This window comes from Homo sapiens, chromosome X (assembly GCF_000001405.40).
Source record: "Homo sapiens chromosome X, GRCh38.p14 Primary Assembly".
Classification (NCBI taxonomy): domain Eukaryota; kingdom Metazoa; phylum Chordata; class Mammalia; order Primates; family Hominidae; genus Homo; species Homo sapiens.
This window is the reverse complement of record NC_000023.11, coordinates 149941216-149959832: the sequence shown is the minus strand read 5'-3', so window position 1 is coordinate 149959832 and position 18617 is coordinate 149941216. Positions and strand designations below refer to the sequence as shown.

Here is an 18617-nt window from a genome sequence, read left to right as displayed (position 1 = left end):
GATCCTATGACTATCTTTTGCATATAAAAAAGAAGTTAGCGTAAATTAGTTCTTAGCTAATGTAAAAGTACTGAACAGTCCTTTGTGCTTTTTTTTTTTTTTTTTTTTGAGACACAGTCTCACTCTGTTGCCCAGGCTGGAGTGCAGTGGTTCGATCTTGGCTCACTATAACCTCCACCTCCCGAGTTCAAGCGATTCTCCTGCCTCAGCCTCCCGAGTAGCTGGGATTACAGGCACCTGCCACCACGCCCGGCTAACTTTTATATTTTTAGTAGAGATGGGGGTTTCATCATGTTGGCCAGGCTGGTCTCGAACCCCTGACCTCAAGTGATCTGCCTGCCTTGGCCTCCCAAAGTGCTGGGATTACAGGCATGAACCTATTGAGCAACTGCTTAGGTTAACCTACTCCTGCTCTTACCCAGAATCACGGGTGACTTTGAGCTTTCAGAAGAGGAACCTATCCCTTAAAAGACCCCAAAGAAACCTTGGAGTGATAGAACAACATTTCATTTTCCCTAGGAATTTCTACGTGTTTAGAAAAGGAGGTCTAGATTAAACCAAGCCACTTCTCAGAGCTAACTAGACATACTAACAGGAGGATGCAAGTTTCCCAGATCATAAGCCAGGCAAAACCACACACAATTCCTGCAAGAATGGCCATAATTTAAAAATTAAAAAATAATAGATGTTGGTGTGGATGTGGTGAAAAGGGAACACTTTTACAGTGCTGGTGGGAATGTAAACTACTATAACCACTACAGAAAACAGTATGGAGACTCCTTAAAGCACTAAAAGTAGATCTACCGTTTGATCCAGCAATCACTACTGGGTATCTACCCAGAGGTAAAGAAGTCATTATATGAAAAAGACACTTGTACATGCATGTTCATAGCAGCACAATTTGCAATTGCAAAAATATAGAACCAGCCTAAATGCCCATCAACTAATGAGTGAATAAAGAAAATGTGAGATATATATCTATATCTATATATATATATATCTCCCACATACACCATGGAATACGATTTGGCCATAAAAAGGAATGAAATAATGGCATTTGCACCAACCTCCATGGAGTTGGAGACCATTATTCTAAGTGAGTAACTCAGGAATGAAAAGCCAAACATTATATGTTCTCACTTATAAGTGGGAGCTAAGTTATGAGGACATAAAGGCATAAGAATGATATAATGGACTCAGGACTCATGGGTAAGGGTGGGAGGGGTGTGAGGGATAAAAGACTACACATTGGGTACAGTGTATACTGCTTGTATGATGGGTGCACCAAAATCTCAGAAATCACCACGAAAGAACTTTTCCATGTAACCAAATACCACCTGTTCCCCAAAAAACAATTGAAATAATAATAAATTAAAAAATAAAGAAGATGACATTGCTGGTGTGAATATTAACTGATGGAGCCACTCTGGAAAACAGTTTGGCCATTAATTCTTTCAAATGCTAAATATAAATTTACCATGTGAACCAGCAATTCAACACCTAGGCAATAAATAAAATGAAAACCTATGTTCACACAAAGACTTGTAAGTATGCTCATGACTGAATTATTCGCAATAGCCAAAAAGTGAAAACAATCCAAATGTTTATCAACTATTAAACAGATAAACAAAATATGATACATCCATACAATGAAATACTAGCCAGCAAAACAAAGGAACAAAATACTGATATATGCTACAACATTGACGAGCCTCAAAAACATTATGCTAAGTGAAAGAAGCCAGATACAAAAGACTAGATATTGTGTGATTCTATTTATAGGAAATTCCAAAGACAGGAAATCTACAATAACAAAAAGTAAATTAGTGGTTGCCAGGGTTGGGGATAGGAAGGTGACTGACTACAAACTGGCATGAAGGATCTTCAGAGGTGATGGCAATGTTTTAAGAGTAGATTATGTTAGTGGTTACATAACTGTAAATTCACTAAAAGTTACTGAATTGTACACTTAAAAGGGTGAATTTATGGTATGTAAATTTTATCACCATAAGGCTGATTTTTAAAATGAGGGAGAAATAAGGACTTTCTCAGGAAAACAAAAATAATGATGGAAATCCTAGCCAGTATTCCTACACTACAAGAAATCTTTAAGAGGTTTTTTTATACCGAAGGAATATATTAGATGGAAACATAAATCTTCACAAACAAATCAAGAGTGCTAAAAAGAAATAAATTATCTGATCTAAAATATTACTAGAAGTAAAATATTGTGCAGAAGTAGCTATAGTAATATCAGACAAAGTAAACTTCAGAACAAAGAATGTTGTCAGAAATTGAGATATTACACAATAATAAAGAGGTCAATTCTCCAATTAGATATAAAAAGTATAAATGTGCATGTACTTAACAGAGCTTAAAATATATTAGACAAACTGTGACACTACTGAAAAAATAAAATGACAAATACACAATTATAATGGGAAACTTTAACACTTCTCTCTTAGTAACTGCAGGAAAATGTAGGCAGAAAATTAGTGATGACATAAATTACTTAAACAGCACTACTATTCACCTTGACTTAACTGATACGTATTTTTAAAACTACATCCAATGCACGTTTTTCAGCAGCACATGGAATGTTCATAGAGATCAACCATGCTGTGGGCCATAAAAAAACTCAACAAATTTAAAAGAACTGAAATCATTAAAAGTATATTCTCAGGAGCTGGGCGTGGTGGCTCACGTCTGTAATCCCAGCACTCTGGGAGGCCAAGGCGGGCAGATTGCTTGAGGTCAGGAGATCAAGACCAGCCTGGCCAACACGGAGAAACCCTGTCTCCACTAAAAATACAAAAATTAGCTGGGCATGCTAGTGCATGCCTGTGATTCCAGCTACTTGGGAGGCTGAGGCATGAGAATCGCTTGAACCTGGGAGACAGAGGTTGCAGTGAGCCAAGATTGCATCACTGCACTCCAGCCTGGGTGACAGAGTGAGACTGTGTCTAAAAAAAAAAAAAAAAAAAGAACGTTATCAGGCGATATTGGAAATTAATAAAAGAAAGATATTTGTAAAGAGCACTCTTAAGAGAATAAAAAGACTAACCACAGACTGGAAAAGAATATTTGCAAATCATAAATCTGAAGAAGAACTTGTATCCAGAATAAAAAAAAAACCCTCAAAATTCAACAGTAATAATGATCCACACAGTATGGTACTGAAGGAGGTATAGACACATAGAACAACAGAACAGAATAGCAAACATATACTTTGGGAGGCCAAGGTGGAAGGATCACTTGAGGCCAGGAGTTTGAGACTAGCCTGGGCAACAGAGTGAGACTCTGTCTCTACAAAAAATAATAATAATAAAAAAAGCTGCATATGGTGGCACACACCTGTAGTCCCAGCTACTCAGAAGGCTGAGGCAGGAGAATTGCTTAAGCCTAGGAGTAAGCCATGATTGCATCACTGCACTCCAGCCTGGGCATGGAGTGAGACACTGACTCTTAAAAAGAGACGAAAAAGAGTATCAGAGACAGAAATAGATCCACGCAAAGATGCCCAATTGATTTTTGAAAAAGGTGCAAAACCAATTCAAAGGAAGAGGCAGAGTTTTTTCAACAAGTGGTGTTGAAGCAACTGGACATACATGGCGGAGGGGGGGAAAGAAAGAAAAAGAAAAATGAGCCTTGACTTAAATCTCAAACTTTAACTCAAAATGGAACATAGTGTGAAATGTAAAAATGTAAAACTTTTCAAAAAAACACAAGAGAAAATCTTCAGACATAAGATTAGGTGAGGAGTTCTTACATTTGGCATCAAAAGCATGACCCATAAAAGTAAAAATTGAAAATTATACCTCATCAAATTTAAAAACTTTGCTCTGTGAAAAACTCTTTCAAGGAGATGAAAAAAGACAAATTACAAACTGAGAGAAAAATTTGCAAATTATATATCCCACAAAGGACTTATATCTGGAATATATAAAGAACTCTCAAAACTCAACATTAAAAAAAAAATCCAATTAGAAAAGAGGCAAAAGACATTTAACTGAAAAGGATACACAGATGCCAAATAAGCACATGAAAAGATGTTCAATATCATTAGCCCTCAGGAAAATGCAAATTAAAACCACAATGAGATATTGCTAGAAACCTATCAAAGTGGCTAAAATAAAACACTGTGACAACACCAAATGCTAATGAAGATGTGGAGCAAATGGATCACTGACATCGCTGGTCAAAATGTAAAACTGCACAATCACTCTGGAAAATAGTTTGGCAGTTTCTTTTTTTAAAAAAAAAATTAGTATTATTATTTATTATACTTTAAATTCTGGGGTACATGTGCAGAATGTGCAGGTTAGTTACATAGGTATACATGTGCCATGGTGGTTTGCAGTTTCTTTAAACACTAAAAATGGATTGGCCAGGCACAGTGGCTCACGCCTGTAATCCCAGCACTTTAGGAGGCCAAGGCAGGCAGATTATGAGGTCAGGAATTCAAGACCATCCTGGCGAACATGGTGAAACCCTGTCACTACTAAAAATACAAAAATTAGCTGGGCATGGTGGCGCATGCCTGTAATCCCAGCTACTCAGGAGGCTGAGGCAGGAGAATCGCTTGAACCAGGGAGTTGGAGGTTGCAGTGAGCCGAGAATGCACCACAGCACTCCAGCCTGGCAACAGAACAAGACTCCATCTCAGAAAAACAAAAAAATATATTTACCAAATGACCCAGCAATGGCACTCTTGGGCATTCACCCCAGAGAAATGAAAACTTATGTTAATGTAGAAACTTGTATATGAATATTCACAGAAACTTTATTTGGAATAGCTCAAAGTGGAAACTACCAAAATTGACAATGCTTAAATTATAGTACATCCATACTATGAAATACTATCCAGCAATAAAAAGGAATGAACTATTGATACATGTCACAACTTGAAGGAACCTCCAGGAATTATGCTGAGTGGGAAAAAAAGCAAATATGAAAAGGAAACATACTATATAGTATGCTTCCATGTATATAACATCCTTGGAATAACAACATTATACAGATGGTAAACCAAATAGTGGTTGATAAGGGTAAGGGATGTAGAGTAGGAAGTGGGTGAGGCTGTGGAGAGGTAATATGAGAGGAATGTTGCGGTGATGGCACAGTTCTGTATGTTGATTGTCGTGGAAGCTACACAAAACTATACATGTGATAAAATTGCATAGAAACACACACACACAAGTATATGTATAACTGGTAAAATCTGAATAACCTCTGTGGATTGTACCAATGTCAATTTTCTGATACTAATATTGTACCATAGTTAGGCAAGATGTTAACATTGGGGAAGGGTGAGTGAAGGGAATACAATTCTTTGCAACTTCCTTTAAATCTATAATTATTTCCAAATAAAGCTTTTAAAATTAACCATAAGAAAACAAGCAACCCAATATTTTGAATGGACGAGAATATAAACAGAAAATTTACCACAGAAGTTAGATGGATGGCAAATAAGCATGTTAAAAGATGTTCAACATTAATAATCATTAGAGAAATGCAAATTATAACCAGAAAGAGATACCACTATACACCTTAGAGTGGCAAAACAAAACAAAAACACACACAGAAAAACTAGCAGTACCAGGTGCTGGCAAGAATGTGGAACAACTGGAACTCTCAAGCCCTCCTAGTGGGAATGCAAAATGGTATAGCCACTCAGCAAAAGTTTGACAAGTTCTCAAAAAGAACTATAACCCAGCAATTTACCAAGTAACCCAGCAATCCCACTCCTATTTACTCAAAAGAAATAAAAACTATGTTCACACAAACCCTGTACACAAATGTTTATAACAATGTATCCATAATAGAGAAAAAATGGAAACAAACCAAGTATCCCTCAACTATAGGACTCATAAACAAAATGTGATACATCTATACAATGGAATATGACCCAGCAATAAAAAGCAATGAACTTCTGGACTGGGTGCAGTGGCTCACGCCTGTCATCCCAGCACTTTGGGAGGCAGAGGCAGGTGCATCACTTGAGGCCAGGAGTTCGAGACCAGCCTGGTCAACATGGCGAAACCTTGTCTCTACTAAAAATATAAAAATTAGCCAGGCGCAATGGTGCACGCCTGTAGTTCCAGCTACTTGGGAGGTTGAGGCATGAGAATCCCTTGAATGTGGGAGGCAGGGGTTGCAGTGGGCTGAGATCACACCACTGCACTCCAGCCTGGGCAAGAGAGTCAGACTATCACACACACACACAAAGGAATGAACTACTGAAAACACAACAACATAGTTAAATCTCAAAAGCATTTTGCTACCTGAAAGAAGCTACATCCAAAAGGTTACAACCATATCATTCTGTTTCTTTGATAATCTGGAAAACTATGGGAATGGAAATTAGATCAGTGGCTGCCAGGGTTGAGAATGGAGAAGGGGATGAATGCCAAGAGGCGGTACAAAGCAATTTCTGAGGTGATGGAATTGTTTGGTAACTTTAGTGATGGCATTAGGCAAAAGCCATAAAACGGTACACCACACCAGTTTGCACTGTGTAAAAAAATAAGTAAACATGCCAAAAAAGGATCCCCCTGCATACCCACCTAAGTGACAACATGTGCTGTCAAGGACGGAGAGCAAATGGAACTCACACATTGCTGGTGGTAATGTAAATTGCTACAGCCGCTTTAAAAATCTGTTTTTCAATATCTGCTAAAATTAAACATATGCATATCCCATAAATCATCAATTTTACCTCTAGACATGTACATAACAGTAATACATATTCACCAAAGAAAGTAAATCCAAGCATGTTCATAGCAGCTTTGCTTGTATTACAAAAACCTGGGAACAATTCCAGTATGTACAAATAGCAGAATGGGTAAATATATCATGGTATACTGATAAAAATGGAATAGTATATGGCAATGAGAATAAAGTATTGCTGACATGACAACATGGATGAATCTCACAAGCAATATTTAATATAAAAATCCAGACAGTAATAAGATTACGCAGTGTACGATCTCATTTATATAAAGTAATAAAAAATGTTGCAAAATAGCGATTACCTTTGGGCAGAAGTAGTGACTTGGAGGGTATTACAAAGAGGTCCTAGCGGTGTTCTATTTTGTGATTTAAGTGCTGGCTATCTTGTTAAGTTGTGAATGTTCATCAGTGCATTCACTTAATATTTGGGCATGTTTTCTGTTTGCAAATTATACTTCCATTAAAAATGTTTTAGGCCAGGCATGGTAGCTCATGCCTGTAATCTCAGCACTTTGGGAGGCTAAGGCAGGAGGATTGCTTGAGGACAGGAATTTCAGACCAGCCTGGGCAACATAGTGAGATCTCATCTTTAAAAAAAATTTTTTTTTAATTTGCTGGGTGTGCTGGTGCATGCCTGTGGTCCTAGCTACTAAGGAGGCGGAGGTGGGAGGATCACTTGAGCCCGGAAGTCAAGGCTGCAGAAAGCTATGATCACATCACTGCACTCCAGCCTGAGTGACAAAGTGAAACCCTGTTTCAAAAAAAAAGTTTAAGAACTTTTAAATGTATGCTTCATTTTCTCTTCTTTTTAAAATTTAGGCTTGCTTATATAGCCAATTGCTAAAAATCTGTAACTAAAACCAAGACTACAGTAGCTCAATGCATAGAAGTTAAAGATAGATAAGGCAATTTTGTAACCTCGCCTTTTACTTTCTGTTTGTTGGCTTTTACATTACTTCAAAATTGTTAAGGAGTAATAAATGCCTGTCCACGTCCATTCCTGTCTGGCCTAGAACATTTAAACTGTCTATAAGTCTTTTGGCTGTAAGTCTCTTGGCCATAGAGATCCTACCAAGGGACAGGATGGACCTGGGGCAGGCAGCCAAACCACCTCCACAATGCTATGGGACAAAATAAAAGTTTGTCCATTGATGTTGCCTCTGGCAAATCCTGGCCAGAAGGAAAGAATGTAAACCAAAAATAAAATTCTAAGCTCCCCAACCACCTGAATGGACCCCTCCTCTTGGCCAAGGGCATTCCAAAGTTAACCTGAAAAACTAGTTCAGGACATGATGAGGAAGGGGGAGTCGGACATGCCTCATTACCATCAACATGAACACTGTCCTTAAGACTGATACAATAGACTCTTTAAGTCTAATAAGAAACATTTACAATCTATTCTCTCTGAAGCCTGCTACCTGGAGGTTTCATCTGCATGATAAAACTGTGGTCTCCACAACTCCTTATCGTAAACCAGACATTCCCTTCTAATGATTCCAGGTCTTTAGATAATAACTCAACCAATTATTAATACCAGTCAGAAAATTTCTGAACCTGCCTATGACCTGGAAGTCCTCCAACTTCCATTTGTCCTGCTTTTCCAGACCAAACGAATGTACATCTCACATGTATCAGTTGATGTCTTATATCTCCCTAAAAACCAAACTGTGGCCTGACCACCTTGGGCATGTCACCAGGACCTTCTTAGGCAGTGTCACAGGCATGTCCTTAGCCTTGGCAAAATAAACTTCTAAATTGATTGAAAAAAATTTTTAGGTTTTCTGATAAGATTGTCTGATTCCAAGGGAGAGGTGTGAGAATTATACATGAAAGCTTTTGTTCCCAATTGGACAGAAGGATGCAAGCGACTTTTGATCACCTGCTCTACCATGAATAGTGCCACGGGCTTCACAACAACCACGAGAGGTATGTATTTTATGTCCACTTTAGAGATGAAGAAGACTCAAGAACAAGAAGATTACTAGTTTCAGTTACAAATATATGATTCCAGCATTTCTAGAATGAAAAACTCAGGAAATATCTGAGAGAGAAAGGTCTATAAAGAGCACTAAATCCAGCCCCTTTATTTTACAAACTGGGAAAATCTGTCCCAGGAGGGAAAGGGACTAGTTCAAGACTACCCAACTACTCAAAGAGAAGGAACTCAAATTTCAATCTCTTGAGTGCCACCCAGTGGACAATGTACCATGACCGATATTTACAGACAAGTTACCAAAAAACTTTACAGAATAGGGGGAAAGAGCACTCATTAAACTGGGAATTGGAAGAACTGGATCCTGTCCCAGTTTTGCCAAGTAAGGTTAGCTTCCCCTCTCTTGGCTTTAATTTCCCCATCTGTGTAATATGAAGTGACAACAGGAAAACCAACATGAGGCAGCAAGTCTTGGATCCAAGACAGAGACAGATCCAGGTTTTGTGGGGCTTGAAGCTTGTAACATCTGGGGCCTTCTTTAAGTATAAGAATGCAAAATTACCAGTATAAAATTGGGAACAAAAGCAAATATTTAAAGTGAGAAAAAAAAAACAAAAGAACACACATTTGAAAACGTTGACAAATGTTAGAAACATCTGAAAATTTAGAAAAAAATAACATAAATAGCTACTTATCTTTAGTACTTAACTGCCTCATGCACTTCTATAGTATGTTATTCCTGCTTTTCTTGTTTGTTATAGTTGGAAACACAGGATTCAGCATATAGTTATAATCACAACCAAGATTTATTACAGCAATGTAGTTAGGGCACACAGCCAGATCACAAGCAGAAAAGACAGGCAAAGTTTGGAGGAGCCCATGCACAGACTTCCTTATGCTCTCTCCCTCCCATGAGGGGCCACACAGAGCACATGCTTCTCTCGGCAACAAATATGCAGTGGCACGTGTGATGTTTCTGGCCAGAGAAGCCCAGACTCATTGCCCACACTTTACACTGGTGTTTGGTAACAGAGACTTCCTCTGCCTAGCATGCACCAAAATTCCAGACTCCCAGAAGGAAAGCAGATATTCAGCATAAACTACGTTTTCTGTATCAACAGTCAAGGCACAGTGAGCCATCTTATCAGTTAACTGTTGACTAGGGAAATTCTGAGAGTCAAGTTTCCAGATGCCAGCAGGGAGCGTAACTTCCAAGCAGGTCTTTCTAAGGGTAGCAGTCACAGGAACTATGACTGTGCCCTTTCTAGCTCAGGACACATTTGATGCTGTGACTGTTTGGGAATTCAGTCCCGACCAATTTAAGAGGTTGTGTTTCTTAGCTGTCTCTGGCTCCTGGTTTGCGCAGTTTAATTCTGTGCCTGCCCAGCAAAACTCTTCTGCATACTACTCAATGTTTCTAGTCCTTCTACAGGTCCATGTCCTACAATCACAGGAATTCTGAAAAATGCCATTTCACAAAATCCCCTTCCAAATGTGCAAATAAATGTATCTTGTATTTACAATTGCGTACACTGCACGCTGGGTATATTTCTGACAAGAGAGCACTTTTGCTTTTCAGTGAAAATGGAATCCTTCACTTACAATTTTACACATCTGATTGATGACTGGAAGATTTTTCCACAGACTAGCTTCTGGTGCTGTACATTGTGAATCTTGGTTCTCCTCCACTGCCAACATACCCCTGATGCCAAGTGCTGCAGGTCACAGTGACATTACAATGTACCCTTCAGCCTCACCCCTCTTGTCCTAACACTGGATGCATCAGCACAGTGAGCAGAAGTATTCCTGCAAGCTATTCCAATAAAGGGCAGCTGGCAAAAACTGGGAAATATATGGAATTGCCTGTGGACTCCTGAAAGATATCTCAAAAATATATCCTAAACTAAATGAATCCCAACTTAATGTCCCCTTAGTTGAATTCTCAATATGACCATGGTCATTGCATTGCTACCCAACACACAGGCAAGAGGGATAGAGACAGCATAGTGGAAAGAAAGATTCCCTGAACCAACTGTGGTTAAAATATCTTTTGTAGATTTTCCAAACCATACAACTGTAGGACCATAATGCTAGGGCTCCTTCCAGGGCTGTTCAAGCAAGAGACACTGAAGCTTTATCTTTAACTTCATTCACTTCACTGTGTACTTGCATCGGGTCTAGAGACTTACAGAAGAGAAACCATGAGAAAAGACATAGGGCCCAGATAATGAGACAGAAGGGAAGAGAGTACACAATCAGAAACAAGGACAAGGAAATTAAGACAAATTCCAGATAAACAAAGTGCAAAATTTACCTGGGAATGTGTGACCTGCATGTGACCTAGCATGGGAGAGGCAGCCTGAAGAGTTATTCTTCCTAAGCTGGGGCACAACACAAGGACAAAAACAACAGAGCTGGCTTTATTCCATGGCTGAGCCAGGAGGACATACCATGAGATTCTGTCGATATTGAGTGGACAGGAAGAGGACTAGTTCAGAGATGTCAGGCTTCTTAGACCACAGACAGAGAGGTTTTGCTAGGCAGGCACAGAATCAAACTGGGCAAACCAGGAGCCAGAGACAGCTAAGAAACACAACCTCTTAAATTGGTCAGGACTGAATTCCCAAACAGTCACAGCATCAAATGTGTCCTGAGCTAGAAAGGGCCTTCTAGTTACCATATTCCACCATTCCACCACCATCTTGTGGTGTAGAGATCAAATCACCATAGTCAGGGTCAAAAAGACTGGTTGAGTCCTGCCTTGATCACTTACAGTACAAGCTGAGGCAAATCACTTCCCCTCTCTGAATTTCAGTGTCCTCATCTCTCGAGTGAAGAGAATGATAATGTGGTCCCAGGAGCCTGTGAAGAATTCAGTGTCACATTAGGATGAGAAAAAGGACCTGGCGAGGCATTCCTGCTGACCCAGAACACAACACAAGAATCTAAGGGCAAGCACGCTGTAAGCTTCAAAGCCTTGCAGGAATGTTACCTTTCCTTTACTACAGAGGAGGCACCAGCAGGGGAACTCTCTTGGCACACAGTTGGAGTCCTCAGAAAATGTTGATTCTCATGGACTCTTCTCTGTCTCTAATGTACAAGCAGTTTCAAGCAGGGGTCTTGTTGGTATTTTAGGGGGAAATTGATGGTATTACTTTGGGATTAATTTGATAAGACTAACGGTCATTTTACAAAGAGAAAGTCATCCCATAAGTAGTATGGCTGGGAAGGGAGAAGGAAGGAGGGCGCAGGGGACCTGAGCAAGCATTGAAATATCTAAACGAGAGGTAAGAAAGCAAGGGCAGTTATGCTGTGATTGAAGATGACACTTGCACCCCTATCATCTCCCCACCAACCTCTGGCCCAGATGACTTACTGGCCACAAGTGAATCAATGAATTCTTCTCAGGAAGAAAACCAGTTTGCCTTTTTAAAATGCTGACAGTGAAACCCAAGTGAGGAAACTCACCTGCTGCACCCAGCGTGCAGCCCACACTCCTTCAGTGGTCCTTTAGGAGTTGGAACCAATCTAGTTTCCCAGCCTCTTCTCTCCCATGACTTCACTCTACGAATGCGTCTGCTCCAGCCACGAACCTTCTCTGGGCTCCTTGAATGTACCTAACCCTTTCAGACTGTCCTTCCCCCATTTCCCACCTAACAAAACCCTTTTGACCTTCAAGGCCCAGCTCAAACACCCCCTCCTCTACGAAGCGTCCCCCAGCCCCCTGCCCAGAGTAGTTCCTTCCTCTTCACATTCACCTAACTCCTCTTGCCTGTAAGATGCCCCCTTACAAGTAACAAAGACATGAGTGTGCACCTACCTTCAAGGAGCCTCTTTCAGGAGGGGGCCTGGCTTCCATCTGCTTTCTGACATACTTTGCATGGAGATCTGCCCTCTCCTGCCAGGCTGTGCTCACACCAATACCAAGAGATCACGAGACGCCCTGCCAGCAAATGCCCTGGAAGCACATCCCCTTCATGCCCCTGGCAGTCATCTAATGTACACACAAGATCAAAGCAGCTCTCAGGTGGCCTGTTGCAGGGCACAGCACAGTTCTGCCTATGCCAAGGCAGATGCTGGGCCCTTCCCTATTGTGTTCAGCACACACCCATTCTCCAGGGCACCTTTTCTGGGCATTAATTTATCCAGTCAGTTAATATGGATTGCACAGCCTGCTATATGCCAGGTACCATGTGGACCCCATCACCCGTACCCAATGCAGGCCCCTCTAGTGGGCAACCCTTGCTCCACACCTCCCTGTTGGGCTGCTCGAGACTGTCAGGTCGGGCTCAACCTGCTCTCCAGCCCTGTTTCCTTCCTATCCCTTTCCTGAGTGTTAGTTAGCCCCAGTAAATCTTTGGCCCTGCCAACTCCCTCTCATGGTCTGCTTCCTGGAGGACACAATCTGAGACAGTGGGTTCCAGAGTGGTCTGAGAAAGCAGGTGGTAAAATGGGGTCTTGGTACAGGATTGCCCCGCATCTGCCCAACTGGCAACAAGGTTCCCATCTTCGGGAGTAGGTGGCACGCAGGCGGCTCCAGGCACAAGATGGCAGGCTAGTTGCCAGACCTTTGGTGTTAGAACTTTTGCTGGGATGGCCGGCTTGTGGAGAGGAAGTTCCTGGCAGGTGAGGAGATCCAGGCAGGGCGGATGCCTGGAAATGAAAACTCAGAGAACAGACAGTGGTGAGTATGTTTCCTGGATGACCCACAGGGGATTAATGAGAGACCAAGAGCAATTAACAAACATCTAAAAATTAACCAGAAACACTGGAGTCTTCCTGGTGGTTTACAAAGTAGCCCCCGATCCAGGCAATGGGCGAGCAGCAAAGTCTGAAGAACAAACCCAGGACTTGCTAAGGTGGCTGAACTCCAAAGACAGGTGAACGCTCAGCCAAGGCAGGTCTGTCATGCCAATGACACCAGCCCTGTTGGGAAAACCTGCGTCCCTGATACATGGAACAGGCACATCTAGAAGGTCTCTGAATATCTGGTCTCCCCAGATGCCCTTGAAACTTCTGAGCCCGCAGCATCAGCCCACCCCCTCCCATGAAGCGCTGCAGGCACCCTATCCCGAAGGAGAAATAAATAACACAAGAATTTTCCCCACAGGTGTCCTCCCTCCCAGGAGTGGCCCTCACCTTATCACTGGCTGCCAGGTAGGGTGACCAACAGTCCCAGTTTGCTGAGTGAATTGCAGTGCTAAAAGCCGGCAAGTCCCAGGGAAGCAGGAGGAATTGGTGAGCTGACTGCCAGACCCGTGACCAGAGTGAAGGTGCAGCGCAGCGCCATGCAGGCAGGGTGTGCTGGGTCTGGGAAGGGGGAAAGCGATGACACCCTCGAGGAGCTGCAGGATCAGCATGCATCTGCAGCGGCCAGGGGGTCCCTGTGGGATGGGACCCGGATGCAGCTCAACCAGTGGGGACTTGGAGACACTCTGCTGCTCAACACAACTGAATGCCCTGGTAGGGAGCCGAAGGGATGGGGCAAACCTGTTGATGGCATGGGATGGGCAACAGTGATGGTCCAGGCCTGAGTGACGGTGAAAGGCCTGAACTGTCATGGCAGACAGTGAAGGAAGGGATTCAAAGGCTAAGCAAAGTGAGCTTGCTGGAACTGGACAGAAGAGGTGAGGCCAGAAGACACCCCGGAGAATCAGGTTTCAGGAGAGGGCCCAGAGGACACGTGTCAGCAAGGGCATCAGGAATGTGCTGCAGAGAGGGCGCCAGCATCCTTCAGAGATCCAGCGCGGGAATCCTCTGCAGACCAGGGCTGACCACAGGAGAGTGTCTTGCAGAACGGGGCGCACCGAGAACTGGAACCTGATAAGGGTGGTGCAGCCTCGTCCTCCTCCTCGTTTCCTTCTCCTCCTCTCCTCCTCCTCTCCACCTTCTGTCCTCCTTTCTTCCTCCTCATTTCCTCCTCTTACTCTCCTCCTCCTCCCACCTCCTGCTCTCCTTCTCCTCTCCTCCTCCTCATCCTCTCCTCTTCTCTCTTCTTCTTCCTACTTTTCTCCTTCTCATTTCCTTCTCTCTTCCTCTCCTCCTTCTCCTCTTTTCTCTTTCACCTCCTCCAACTCTGTTCCTCCTCCTCTCCTCTCCACTCCTCCCCAACCCCCTCCTCCTTTTCCTCTGCTCCTCTTATTCCACTCTTCCTCTTCCTCCTTTCCTCCTCGTCCTCTCCTCCTGGTCCTCCTTTCTTCAGCCTCCTCCTCTCTGCTTTCTCCTCTTCTCCGCCTTCTCCTTTCTTCTTCCACCTCCCCTCTTCCTCCAAATCTCCTCCCCTTCCTCTCCTCCTCCTCCTCTGCTCCTCCTCTCGTCCTCTCCTCCTTTCCTCCCTCCTCCTATTTCTCTCCTTCTCCCTTCCTCCCCGTCCTCCCCCCCTCCTCTCCTTCTCCTCTTTTCTTTCACTCCTCCTCCTTTTCTCCTCCTCTTCTCCTCCTGTTCTTTTCTCTTCCTCCTCCCCCCTCATCCCTCTCCTCTCCTTTTCTCCTCCTCTTTCTCATCCCCTCCTGTCCTCCACCTCCTCTCCTCCACATCTGCCTCTCCTTCCCCTTCTGTCCTTCTCCTCTCCTCCTACTCCCCCCTCCTCCTCCTTACTTGCTCTTCTAGTCCTCTTCCTCTTCTTCCTCCTTTGTTACTCCTCCTCCTCTTCTCCGTCTCCTCTCCTCTTTCTTCTCTTTTCTGTGTCCTCCTCTCCTCCTTCACCTCTTCTCCTTGGTCTCATCTCCTCCTCCTCTCCTTCTCCTCCTCCTTCCCTCCTTGAACCCGCTCCCTCTCTTCCCCCTCCTTCTCCTCTTTTCTTCTCTCCTCCTCCCCTCCAGCTCCTATTCCTCCACTTTACCTCTCTCCTCCTCCTACATCGCACATCCGCACGACCCTGTGAGAGTCAGGGCAGAAAAGGAAAGCTAAAAGGCGGACAAATGAGTGCAAGAGAGCAAAAAAGGGAACCCTCCCTAATCTAATGGGCAGGGCACTGGACGCATGCGAGCACCTCCTCCTTGGGGGAGAGGTCACAGCCTTCAGATGGAGGGGCAGTGGGACACTCCATGATCTCTGGGGTTACTTACAATTTGGAGTGCTTAGGTGAATACTGAGTCCAAAACAGCCCTGCAAAGACACAGAAGAACAAGCCCCTGTGCGGACGAGGTCTCTGAAATACAAAAAGCCAACATGGGGTTAGAGGCAGAATTCAGAAAGAGCTCCTACAACTCCATACCAACAAGGCAAATGACTCAATAGAAAAATGGGCAAGCCAGGCACGGTGGCTTACGCCTGTAACCCCAGCACTTTGGGAGGCCGAGGCGGGTGGATCACCTGAGGTCGAAGTTCGAGACCAGTCCAACCAACAAGGAGAAACCCCATCTCTACTAAAAATACAAACTTAGCCAGGCATGGTGGCGCATACCTGTAATCCCAGCACTCAGGAGGCTGAGGAAGGAGAATCGCTTGAGCCCAGAAGGCAGAGGTAGTGGTGAGCCGAGATTGCACCAGCCTGGGCAACAAGAGCAAAACTCCGTCTAAAAAAAAATGAAAAAGAAAGAAAGAAAAAGAAAAATGGGCAAAAGCCATTTCCTAGACGAGGAAAGCAGGCTGACCAAAAAGCATCTGAAGGGAAACCATGAATCAGGGTCAAAGCGGTCCCAGACTGGCCGTGCCCCGGAACACTAGGCAGGATCAAACGTGAACCATCTCCAGAGAAGGGCAACTTCCTCCTGGGCCTCAGAGTCAAAAAAGCACAGCGAGGAGAGGTGGCTGCACTCTGGAAAGTGTCAGTGGGGAGGCAAAGGAAGAGGAAGGCGGTGACAGGCTCAGAAAACAGGAGGAGTTGCACGGAAATTAGGCTGAGCAAAAAGAATGCTTCTCTAGGGGAGCATGTGGGCAGAAGAGAAGGACTGCACAGCCGGGGATGCTGAGCACAGAGAGGCAAGGTGATGGCAAATTCGCAAGGGACAGCTCTAGCCAGGGAGGTTAGCCTGCCATGGAGGGAGAGGACAGAGCAGGAGAGGGCAGGGTTGGGGGCAGGGGGTGGGGGGGCAGGGTAGGGTAGGGAAGGGAAGCGGGGAGAGGGAAGGGGAGGGGAGGGGAAGGGATGGGAGGGGAAGGAAGGGGAGGTGAGGCTCAGAAGGCCACCAGGATGGACCGGGAGCTCTGCAGGGGGCTCCCTGGTGATGAGGAAGGAAGGAAGACCTGAGCGGGGGCTGTGGTTTCAGGAAGGAGGCAGTATCCTGGGGGAGGCAGGCAGAGGGTACAGTCAGCTGCAAAGCAGGATCTTTGGAAAAGGCAAGGACTTCCTAAAAGAGATATGATGTGTGGCACGATAGGCATGCAAGCAAGGCCTGAAGAAGCAAGCAGAACTTGAGGAGACACACCGCTGGCCCCAGGAGTGGGGGTCAGTTCAGTGTGTGCTACTGGGGTGCAGTCAGGCACAGTGGTTTCAAGGGAGCACAGCAAGGAACCCAAGAAGGCCCCGCATGTCTGCAGTTGGCTGACTATTGCCCGGGACTCCAGAGCATCCATGGAGGGCCCCACAGGGGAAGGCAGGAGCAGGACGGGTCTAGGGAGGTGAAGGCCGACCTGACCTGCTAAGAGACGAGAAGAGAGGGAGGGGAAAGTCTTGTTCCTGCCAGGACATTGTTAATGAGAGGAGTGAGAAGGCAGCAGGTGAAGAGAGTGTGGCATGGAAGGCAGAAATCAGAGCGTTTTTGGGTTTCGTGCTGACCTGCTATTGGGAATGAAAATCAAGACTCAGGTGCATTCTGGTCCCTTTCTCAGGGTTAGCCGAACACCACCCGCATCCCTGCCTGGCCTGTTGATGCCATTCTTCCTAGGCCCACTCACCGCTGCAGCTGCTTTACTTGCACTTCCTCTCGTCATCCGACCACAGATCAGACCTCTGCTGCTCGCTGCCGCCCAGGGAGAGTGTGCACCTACGTGCACATTGCACCCCACTGCCCAGCACACCCAGGAGTGAGAGTGAGGAGCAGCTGAGAGAGTTGGAAAAGGGAGCCCTTATGTGGCCACCAAGGGCTTCCCTGCTAGCAGCCACACGGTGGCTATCCAGCTCATTATGCGAGTTCTAGTTCTTCAAACAAGAGGCCACGGGAGGAGCAACGGCCACCCACCATCCCGGGGATCCTCATTCATGATCTGAAACCACTCTAAGCAGATTCTGGGGTGTTCGGCAGAAGCTGGCAACCATTCTTGTGGGGAAGGAACCCAGGAGGGGATGCTAGCATACATAGGACTTGGAACTGGTGATCTGAAGGTCCCCTGCAGCCCTACGGCCTACATCCCATAAAGAGGGACCCTCTCCTCCTCACCTCATCTCCAGCATTTCTGCTTCCTCAAGCTTCTCCAGGGAGAAGTAGGCGCATCTCACTAGAAAAAACAAGAAAGCTGCCCTTTGCTCATTCAACACTTACTAAGCAGATACTGTGCCCTGGGCACCCAGTTTCAGAAATGAGTAAAACACCGGCCTTGCCTTCAAGGAACTCAAGAGACCCTGCGGCAGCCACAGTCTTACAGAGCAATTACCACCCTGGGTTGCAAGAGCCTAACGTAGGGTGGGGACAGGGGAGGTACAAAATGCTATCAGAGCTGGAGACGAAAGTCTCTAATACTCGGAGTGGGGCTGTGAAGGTGACTTTAAAGTTGTGCCTTGAAGGAGGCCAGGAGCGCACCAGGACAAGGCCATGGGAACCGCCGGTGCAAAGCAGGGAGACCTGGAACAGCAGGCTGGTGGGGACCAGTGACTGAACAGCACAGCGTGAACCCAAAGAGTGTTTGGCTTAAGGGTGGGGAGAGCTGAGCCGACTCCCTGAACTGCTAGGACTTAAACCTGAGAAGGCCCAGCAGCGTTTTCACTAGAGGATTGCTGGGGACAGATTTGTGACTTAGAAACTGAGCCGATGGAATGTGGACGACAGACCTGAGGGAAGAAAGACAGAGGACT

The 18617-nt window shown here is 44.7% G+C and overlaps 1 long non-coding RNA gene across 1 annotated transcript in view; it reads right to left on the bottom strand.

The window, feature by feature from the left end:
- The window catches only part of EOLA2-DT (EOLA2 divergent transcript), a 78240-nt gene that overhangs the window by 56955 nt on the left and 2668 nt on the right, over window positions 1-18617 (bottom strand). Inside the window, exons 3-7 of the long non-coding RNA NR_027456.1 lie at window positions 17986-18043; window positions 17504-17649; window positions 15733-15815; window positions 12486-13975; window positions 11439-11527 (exon numbers count right to left, since the gene is read on the bottom strand). This is a non-coding gene — a long non-coding RNA (EOLA2 divergent transcript). The remainder of the gene's footprint in view (window positions 1-11438; window positions 11528-12485; window positions 13976-15732; window positions 15816-17503; window positions 17650-17985; window positions 18044-18617) is intronic.